We start from the raw sequence: 10,852 nt of genomic DNA on the forward strand, positions 1-10,852 counted from the left end.
GTTGCAGTGAGCCGAGGTTGCGCCACTGCATTCCAGCCTGAGCAACAGAGTGAGTGTCCATCTCAAAAAAAAAAAAAAAAAAAAAGATGTGTCCTTTATTTAAAAATATTTTTTCCTCAGCCTTTGCCTTTGAGCCTGTAGATAGGACAGGTTATCAGTCGGAGCTGTGCAGACTTAATCTTGATGCTTGGTCATTCAAAGCGCTGACAAAGCTCTTCCACAGGAGGCCTGCGCACTGCCACTCATGCTGCCACCGTGTCTTGAGTGATCACTGAGAAGTTCAAGCCATGTTTTGTGAGTACTCAACCCCAACATCAATGTGTAGCAGAAAATAGCCCTTGCCATCACTGCCATTAAGGGTGTGAGCTGAACTTATGCTCGTGTGGAGTTGAAAAAGCAGACATCGGCTTCCCCAAGAGGGCAGGAGAATTCACTGAGGATGAGGTGGAATGCCCTGAGGATCACCATGATGCAGAATCCACGCCAGTACAAGAACCCAGACTAGTTCCTGAACAGACAGAAGGATGTAAAGGATGGAAACTATAGCTAGGTCCTGGTCTGGAAAACAAGCTCTGTGAAGACCTGGAGCGACTGAAGAAGATTCAGGTCGATAGAAGGCTATGCCACTTCTGGGACCTTTGTGTCTGAGGCCAGCATGCCAAGACCACTGGCTGCCATGGCTGTACTGTGAGTGGATTCAGGAAAAAGTAAGTTTGTAGGCCTTGTCTGTATATATACTTAAAAAAATAAAAATAAAATAAAATCCTGGTATCACCTTAAAGTTTAGGATAAGGTCACTATGAAAAGATCCCAAGCCACACTATGAATTATACAAATGACAGCACTATTTATATACAGTAGATGGACAGAAATGACAAAGTCTGGCTAAACCAAATGTCAATAACGTATTATACATGACTGTGGGAATGTAAATTGGTTTAGCCACTGTGAAAAACAATTTGTCGGGCCGGGCTCAGTGGCTCACGCCTGTAATCCCAGCACTTTGGAAGGCCGAGGAGGGCGGATCACTTGAGGTCAGGAGTTCAAGACCAGCCTGGCCAACATGCTGAAGCCCTCTCTCTACTAAAAATACAAAAAATTAGCCGGGTGTGGTGGCAGGTGCCTGTAATCCCAGCTACTCAGAAGGTTGAGGCAGGAGAATCACTTGGACCCCGGAGGTGGAGGTTGCAGTGAGCCGAGATTGTGCCACTGCACTTCAGCCCGGGCAACAGTGTGAGACTCTGTCTCAAGAAAAACAAAAAGAAAAGAAAAAAAAGAAAAACAATTTGTCATTGTCTTCTATAGTTAGACACATATCCTCCACCCGCCTCTCCATTCATCATGGACATAATACCCTAGAGAAACTGTTGCTCATGTATGCCCACCAAGAAACATGTTGAGGGCAGTAATTTTTATATGACCAAAACAAAACAGAACAGAACCTACCCAAATTCCATCAACAGGAGAATAGATAAATAACTTGTGAAATGCTTACCCAGTGGAATATTATACAACAATGAAAAACTATCTCTCTAGCTGGGCACAGTTGCATGTGCCTGTAGTCTCAGCAACTCAGGAGGCTGAGGTGGGAGGATCACTTGAGTCCAGGAGTTTGAGGCTGCAGTGAGCTGTGATCACACCACTGGACTCCAACCTGGGTGACAGAGCAAGACCCTGTCTCAAAAAAATAAAAAGAAAAGGAAAGAAAAAAAAAATGTCTTCACCAGCTACCTGTATCAACATGAATGCATCTTGGAAATATAATGTAGTGGGAAAAAGAAAGTCAAGTTGCAGAAGGCAATCCACCATATAATCCCTTTTTTGAAGCTCAAAAAAGAAGTAAGATTAATATATAGTTTGTACACATATACATCTGTAGTAAAACTATTTTTTAAAAGGCCAAATTAATTAAAATGTAAAAGTAGGATAGTATGACTTCTCATGGGGAGGTGGAGGGCTGAAAGGAGAAGCACGCAGGTGGTTTAGATGGTACTGGACATAAATTGGTTTATAAACTGGGCGGTGGGTGCACAGATTTGATTATGTTATTATGCTTCATAAACATATAAGCTACACATTTGCTTTGCATCCATCAAACATTACAACATGAAGAAAATTCCTTAAGTCATGTGGGAAAAAAGCAAGTGTAGTCATATTTACATTCCAACATAAACCAAGGAATTATTTGTGAGAATGCTTTGTGATATCTCAAGCCCCTTTCACTTTTTAACGTTTGTAATCTTTGACCCCCACTGCATCCCTTCTTGCAATGACTGTAAAATGCCACACTAATATGGAACAAAGCAGAATAGAAGTCAGGATAAGCATGGAGTCCTGATAGATTAGGTAACAATTTGGAGTAGGAGACATAAATCTTGTTTGGAAAGAAACACTCAAAATGTTAACCAAGGCAGCACTTGAGGTAGGATTGGAGGAAGGAGGCGTTTCAACAGGAGGACGCTTCACTTTTTACTCTTCTGTGCTGCTTGGGTTTGTTACAATAAGGGTACGTTACACATGTAAAAATTTCATAACAGTAGAAATGGAAAAAAGCAGAGGGATTTTGACCCCACACCTTTTCAGTGTGTATCTCATGAATTGCTTTTGCTTTCAGGTAAGGAGGAAGCATGTGCATTTGTTATTGAAATCAGAAAGACTTTTTCTAAGAAAGGTGACATGGCTTTGACATTGCCAACTAAGTTTTATCATAGTATCATGTCTAGCTTCAACAGACAATTGCTTTTGTCTCCTAATCTATGTCCACAAATGGCTATGGCAGAGACTGGTAGACCCATTTCCCCCCTTTTTCTTTTGTAATCAACCTCCATATTTAGCTGGGCATGTGGCCATCCAAAATAAAGATTACATTTCCCAACACCCTCTTACCCCTGACTCCTCAGAGCTAGGTATGGCCATGAGACGAAGTCCTGGTCAATGACATGTATGCACACATCCTGACTACAAAACCGGAAAATGTCCTTAAAGGGAGGGAGTACATCCACCTTTGCCCTTCTTATTTCCTGCAATCTGCAATGTGGAACCGTAGCAGGAGCTCCAGCAGCCGTCTTGGGTGTGATGTCTTCAGCATGTAGAAGCCACACGCTGAAGATCAGAGCAATGGAGGGAGCCTAGGTCCCTTCCATTGGAGAGCATGATACCTGCTCAGCACTCAGCGCTGCCAGCCTCTGAAACCCATTTATTTTCTTTTTTTTTCTTTTTTTTTTTGAGACAGGGTCTTGCTCTGTCACCCAGGCTGGAGTGCAGTGGTATTATCTTGGCTTACTGCAACCCCTGCCTCCCGGGCTCAAGCAATCCTCCCACCTCACCCTCCCAAGTAGCTGAGACTACAGGTTTGTGCCACCATGCCTGGCTAATTTTTGTATTTTTTGTAGAGATGCAGTTTCACCAAGTTGCCTGGGGTGGTCTCAAACTCCCAGGCTCAAGTGATCCGCCTGACTCAGCCTCCCAAAGTGCTGGAATTACAGGATGAAATAAGAAACCCATTTCTATGAGAAAGAACATCTATGATGTTTAGGCCACTGTATTTTTTCTGTCATATGCAGCCAAACCTAATCCAAATTGATCTAATGGCTTTAGTTTACCTACTCTAAAGTCAAAAAATTTGGCAGACATCCTTTAACATAAATTAGCTTTAGCAGCAATTCTATACAGCAGGTCAAAACATTCATTTACTCAGGGACCGCAATTCCAAACTAATTTGTCCTAGAGGGTTTACCAGGAAACTACTGTTAAAATAAAATCCTTAGGCAAATTAAATTTAACAGAGTTTAATTCAGCAAAGAACGATTTGTGAATCGGGCAGCCTCCCAAGCCAGAGTAGGCTCCGAGACTCCAGCACTGACATGTGATGGAAGATTTATAGACAGAAAAAGGAAAGTGCTCTATAAAAAACTGAAGTGAGGGACAAAACAGCCAGATGGGTTACAGCTCAGTGTTCGCCTTATTTGAACACGGTTGGAACTGTTGGCCACCTTTGACTGGCTAAAACTTGGTGATTGGCACAAGAGTAAGCTACAGTCTGTTTACAAGTCCATTTAGGTTATAGTTCATGATATATAGAGAAACCTTTAGGTCGAACTTAAGATATTTATATGTAAGGAGGCAGCTTTAGGCTAAACTCATTTTAACTCTATATTTTAAAATTAAGTTAAGGTGTTTTACTGAGAGATGTTTGTCCAAGTGAGCAATCTTGAGCATCTGCTTTGAATTTTTTCCCCAGCTAGAGTTATCATAGACCTGCTTAAGGTAGTGTCCTGTCCCAGTTGTTTCTTGAGTAATTGTTTAAAATGCAGATTCATTGGCCTACTCTAGAACACTAGAATCAAAAATCCATAGAGAGATTCCTGGGACTCTGCATTTTTAACAAATATCCTAGTACAGCCTATGCACTATAACATTCGAGAATTTTTAGATGCCTCTCTCTTTCTCTCATAAGCTAAAGGAGCCAAACTGTTCTTCGAAAGAGACTTTGGCTTCTGTTTTTGGGGTACCCACTTAATCTACCTTCTGCTGCTTCTTTTGAGATGTTACAACTTCACACTCTGCCATGTTCAGTTTTATCAAATGCCCAGTTAGGAGAAATAATATCTGTGGTGGATTTCCTAAGAACATGCAGTCCATTCATATTGGGGTTTTTTTTTAAGCTATTCTAAATTGTACCCTTGAAATGCATCTGAGTATCAAAGAATTGCCTACTGGAATTGTACTATTTGTCCTTTTGTTTGGTTTTGTTTTTATTGAATTGTACCCCAGAGTTACAATATCAGCTTACTTCAAACACAGTTATAAGAAAGAACAGGAGGAAATGTGTTACTATCGCTCTTGTAGGGCTATGTTGAGATGTCTCCCTCTATAAAACAGTACTTTCCTTATGAGCACCCATAAGAGAATGTGTCAAGTCTCAATATCAGAAAGCATAATACTTCCAAAGAGCAACTGGTTTCTTTTAATCTAATGGAGATGATAAAAACAATTATTAATTATTTTTCCCTTTCGCTTTGGTTTCTGAGAGTTTTCACAATGAAATGTCTTGTGACCTACCTTGAGCAAATATACAGGACTCTATGTTATACATTACTTTTTATTATTTTCCTTCATCATATCCCTTAAGAGTATATTGTATGATTATTTACTGTATGTGTTTTAATGAATGATTGCTAATTCTTTGTGGAGAGAGCAGGGAGGGGAGGATAGATGGAGAGGAACCTAGATCTTTTAAATCCAAGTCTGGTTTTCTCTTGGTTATATCATAGCGCTTCAATCTCTGCACATCTACACTCACCCCAACACACACTCAAAAAAGAAGAGGCAAAATTTTAAAACCACATAAATGAGCAAAATAAAAATGCCATGATTTCTAAGTAAACATAACTATTTTTTTTTTTTTTTTTTTTTTTGAGACGGAGTCTCACTCTGTCGCCCGGGCTGGAGTGTAGTGGCGCAATCTTGGCTCACTGCAAGCTCCACCTCCTGAGTTCACGCCATTCTCCTGCCTCAGCCTCCCAAGTAGCTGGGACTACAGGCGCCCACCACCACGCCTGGCTAATTTTTTTTGTATTTTTTTAGTAGAGACGGAGTCCATGTTAGCCAGGATGGTCTCAATCTCCCGACGTCATGATCCGCCCCCCTCGGCCTCCCAAAGTATTGGGATTACAAGCGTGAGCCACCGTGCCCGGCCAACATAACTATTTCTAAAAGTTGATAGGAAGCGTAGAGAGAGGAAGGGAAAAAAGCAAATGAAGGGAAAATAATAAAAGACATGGAAAAGAAAGTATAAAAGAAAAAACAAACATGGTAAAGAAGTAAGGACCATTTTCTGATTATTATTGTTATTACATATATTTTCCTCATCATATCCCTTGAAACAAAATTTCTAGACTTTCCAGGCTAGCACAGGACATCAGCTCCCCTCAGCATGCATGAGAGTATAGTCATCCCTGGGTATCCATGGGGGATTGATTCCAGGATTCCCAGCAGATACCAAAATCCATGGATGCCTGTATTAGTCCGATTCCACTCTGCTGATAAAGACATACTTGAGACTGGGAAGAAAAAGATGTTTAATTGGACTTACAGTTCCACATGGCTGGGAGGTTGAAATCATGGCGGAGGGTGAAAGACATTTCTTACATGATGGCGGCAAGAGAGGAGAGGAAGAAGCAAAAGCAGAAACCGCTGATAAACCCATCAGATCCATGAGACTTATTCACTATCACGAGAACAGCAAGGGAAAGACCAGCCTCCACGATTCAATTACCTCCCCCTGGTTCCCTCCCACAACATGGGGGAATTCTGGGAGACACAATTCAAATTGAGATTTGGGTGGGGACACAGCCAAACCATATCATTCTGCACCTGGCCCCTCCAAATCTCATGTCCTCACATTTCAAAACCAATCATGCCTTCCCAACAGTCTCCGAAAGTCTTAACTCCTTTCAGCATTAACCCAAAATTCCACAGTCGAAAGTATCATTTGAGACAAGGCAAGTCCCTTCCACCTATGAGCCTGTAAAATCAAAAGCAAGCTAGTTACTTCCTAGATACAATCGGGGTACAGGTATTAGGTAAATACAGCCATTCCAAATGGGAGAAATTGGGCAAAACAAAGGGGTTACAGGGCCCATGCAAGTCTGAAACCCAGTGGGGCAGTCAAATTCTAAAGCTCCAAAATGCTCTGCTTTGACTCCACGTCTCACAACCAGGTCATGCTGATGCAAGAGGTGGGTTCCCATGGTCTTGGGCAGCTTTGCCTCTGTAACAGCCTCCCTTCTGGCTGCTTTCACAGGCTGGCGTTGAGTATCTGCAGTTTTTCCACACACATGGTGCAAGCTGTCAGTGATCTACCATTCTGGGGTCTGGAGGACAGTGGCCCTCTTCTCACAGCTCCACTAAGCAGTGCCCCAGTAGGGACTCTATTTGGGGGCTCCAGCCCCACATTTCCCTTCTGCGCTGCTCTAGCAGAGGCTCTCCATGAGGGCCCTGCCCCTGCAGCAAACTTTTTCCTGGGCATCCAGGCATTTCCGTACATCTTCTGAAATCTAGGCGAAGGTTCCCAAACCTCAATTCTTGACTTCTGTGTACCTGCAAACTCAATACCACATGGAAGCTGCCAAGGCTTAGGGCTTTCACCCTCTGAAGCCACAGCCTGAACTCTATGTTGGTCCCTTTCAGCCATGGCTGGAGCAGCTGGGACACAGGGAACCAAGTCCCTAGGCTGCACACAGCACGGGGACCCTGGGCTTGGCCCACAAAACCACTTTCTCTCCTGGGCCTCCGGACCTGTGATGGGAGGGGCTGCAGTGAAGACCTCTGACATGCCTTGGAGACATTTTCCCCATGGTCGTGGGGATTAACGTTAGGCTCTTGCTACTTATGCAAATTTCTGCAGCTGGCTTAAATTTCTCCTCAGAAAATGGGTTTTTCTTTTCTATTCCATAGTCAGGCTCCAAATTTTCTGAACTTTTATGCTCTGTTTCCCTTTTAAAACTGAATGCCTTTAACAGCACCCAAGTCACCTCTTAAATGCTTTGCTGCTTAGAAATTTCTTCCACCAGATACCCTAAATCATCTCTCTCAAGTTCAAAGTTCCACAAATCTCTAGGGCAGAGGCAAAATGCCACCAGTCTGTTTGCTAAGACATACAAGAGTCACCTTTGCTCCAGTTCCCAAAAAGTTCCTCATCTCCATCTGAGGCCACCTCAGCCTGGATTTTATTTTTCATATTGCTATCAGTATTTTGGGCAAAGCCATTCAACAAGTCTCCAGGAAGTTTCAAGCCTTCCCACATTTTCCTGGCTTCTTCTGAGCCCTCCAAACTGTTTCAACCTCTGCCTGTTACCCAGTTCCAAAGTTGCTTCCACATTTTCCACATTTGCTGAGTATCTTTTCAGCAACGCCCCACTCTACTGGTACCAATTTACTGTATTAGTCCATTTTCATGCTGCTGATGAAGACATACCCAAAACTAGGAAGAAAAAGAGGTTTAATGGATTTACAGTTCCACATGGCTGGGGAGGCCTCAGAATCATGGCAGAGGGCAAAAGTCGCCTTTTACATGGCGGCAGCAAGAGAGAAGAAGAAGAAGCAAAAGCAGAAACCCCTAATAAACCCATCAGATCTTGTGAAACTTATTCACTATCACGAGAATAGCATGAGAAAGACCAGCCCCCATGATTCAATTACCTCCTCCTGGTTCCCTCCCACAACATGTAGGAATTCTGGGAGATAGAATTCAAGTTGAGATTTGGGTGGGGACACAGCCAAACCGTATCAATGCCCAAGTCCCTTATATAAAATGGCATCGGCCGGGCACGGTGGCTCACGCCTGTAATCCCAGCACTTTGGGAGGCCGAGACGGGCGGATCACGAGGTCAGGAGATCGAGACCATCCTGGCTAACACGGTGAAACCCCGTCTCTACTAAAAATACAAAAATTAGCCGGGCATGGTGGCGTGTGCCTGTAGTCCCAGCTACACGGGAGGCTGAGGCAGGAGAATGGCGTGAACCCGGGAGGCGGAGCTTGCAGTGAGTCGAGATCGCGCCACTGCACTCCAGCCTGTGCGACAGAGCGAAACTCCGTCTCAAAAAAAAAAAAAAAAAAAAATGGCATCGTATTTGCATATAATGTACACATATCCTCCCAAATACTTTAAATCACATCTGGACTACCTAATGCAATGCTTACACATCACTTCATTTGCCTGGATTCAATGTAGTACTCAGTGCATGCAAATTCAAGTTTTGCTTTTTGAAACTTTGTGGAATTTTTTTCTCACACAATTTTGATCCGCAGTTGGTTGAATCCACAGATGCACAATTCATAGAATACCAACTATTCCAAGATTACTTCCCTTTAGTTTCTCCTGCAGGTCCTGGTACTTAGTAATTTGCCTCTGGGTGGAGTTCTGCAGATTTAGCAATTTTTCATCATTTCTTCCCAGCATGCTTCAAAGACATAGAAAGCAAAAGCGAAAACAAACAAAAGAAGCAAAAACAAAAGTGTTTCATAGTTTTAAGATTGTTTAAAATGTGCCTTTCTCCAGAGTTCAAAGGTGCGTTGTGCTCCTGACACATGAGGGCACTATTTCTGTAGTTTGTAATATTCATGGTACAGAAAGAATATTCATGTGGGAAGCTAGGTCTGCAGAACCGTGGCTAGGAACATGCAGAGAAAAATGGTTTGCTATGTGTTCTAGGCTCGCCAGGTTTTCCAAGTGTGACATGTCCTAATGTACCCTATGAACAATGCCAGGACTCTCGGGGCTGCAACCTGGCCTTCTGACCACAGGGTTGCTAGCTGGAACTTCCTTGAAATGAGGATGACCTCATCTCATTTAGCTCTGCAGGGATAGAACTAGTGTATTAAAACACCAGCTTTGGAGACTGACTGAGAATGAAAGATGAATGACCTAGAGCAAGCTGCTTAACCTTTTCTTGCTCTAATGATGGAGGTATTGCTGAGCACAGTGGCTCACGCCTGTAATCCCAGCACTTTGAGAGGCCAAGGTGGGCAGACTGCTTGAGCTCAGGAGTTGAGACCAACCTGGGTAACATGGTGAAACACCATCTCTACAAAAAAATATAAAAATTAGCTGGGCATGGTGGCACATACCTGTACTCCCAGCTACTTGGGAGGCTGAGACGGGAGGGTCAACTGAGCCTGGGAGGTCAAGGCTGCAGTGAGCTATGACTGCATTACTGTACTCTAGTCTGGGTGACAGAGTAAAGCCCTGTCTCAAAAAAGAAAAGTAAATAAATAAAAATGGAGGTATTGCCTCACAGATCTGTGAGGAAGATTAAGTGGGGGTAATCTATCTAAAGCGCCTGACACTTAGTTGGAACTCAATAAGGAGACACTAATAGTGTTTGTTACTTAGCAGTGCTGATGTATAGTGATGCTCAGGACAAGTTTAAGCAAGCGAATGAATGAATAGGATGTGTAGAATCACACAGATTTTACCAAACTGAAGAAAACTAACACTTTCGAGCTTTTTTAGTGTTGAATCACTTCAGGGCAAAGTGATCAGCCAGTGTGCGGTAAGCCCTCTAAACTTCTGTTAGCCTTCTTGATTCCTTAACTGAACCGGTGAGAATGCTGAGGTCAGAGGAAAAAAGTGATGTGCCCCAGGCTTCAGAGCTGTTTAGGGGATCGGGATGAGACCCAAGGTCTCCTGAGGCCTAGCACAAAGCTTAACCCATAGGGACCTGCCTGGCTGGGCTGGGAGTTGAGGGGTTAACAGACTGATCCTAGAAAACAAATAGGCTTTTGGCTTGGTTTACCTGTGCTTGCTAGGCATATTGTTACCCAGCAGTGACCCCGTCTGAGTGTGGAAAGAGCTGAACCACAAGAGCATCCCAGCTTGCCCCAGGGCAGCCACCCAGGGTTGACCTCTAATCTGAAGACATCTTTGGGGAGAGCTCTCACACACTTCCCCAAATATACTTCTATGTGCTTCTGTGTGTGTCACAAGAGGCCTTGGGTCACCTCCTTCCTTTGCGCAATGAGATCAAAAGAGCAGTTTCTGCTTCTGCTGTTGCTTCTTTCCTGTTACCACTTTCTTGGACTTTTCGGGGACTGTTGAATTCTTAGGACACAGCCCTGCTCTGGCCCTGGTGGGCTTCCTCTATTAGAAGGCTCCCCAGGGCTTCCTGACTGGAGCAGATGGCCCTCCCTTTCCCGGGTGAAACAGGCTGACCTGGGCAGGCCGGCCCCTCTGCCTTTGATCTGCAGGTGGGAGGCAATAAAAGGCACTTTCCACGTGCCTGCTATAACCATATTTTCCAAATTCAAAAGCAGGACTCAGGAGTCTCTCTGAGCCTACTCTGGTTTGAG

At 43.6% G+C, this 10,852-nt stretch overlaps 1 pseudogene, besides 1 other annotated feature; it reads left to right on the top strand.

The window, feature by feature from the left end:
* Positions 213-740, top strand: RPS18P4 (ribosomal protein S18 pseudogene 4; annotated as a pseudogene).
* Positions 10,481-10,630: an enhancer, noted in NCBI's record as "active region_2042". NCBI's record gives its function as "activates an Ori minimal core promoter by ATAC-STARR-seq in GM12878 lymphoblastoid cells {active_cell/tissue: GM12878}" and the evidence as "EXISTENCE:reporter gene assay evidence [ECO:0000049][PMID:35858748]".

This window comes from Homo sapiens, chromosome 1 (assembly GCF_000001405.40).
Source record: "Homo sapiens chromosome 1, GRCh38.p14 Primary Assembly".
Lineage (NCBI taxonomy): Eukaryota > Metazoa > Chordata > Mammalia > Primates > Hominidae > Homo > Homo sapiens.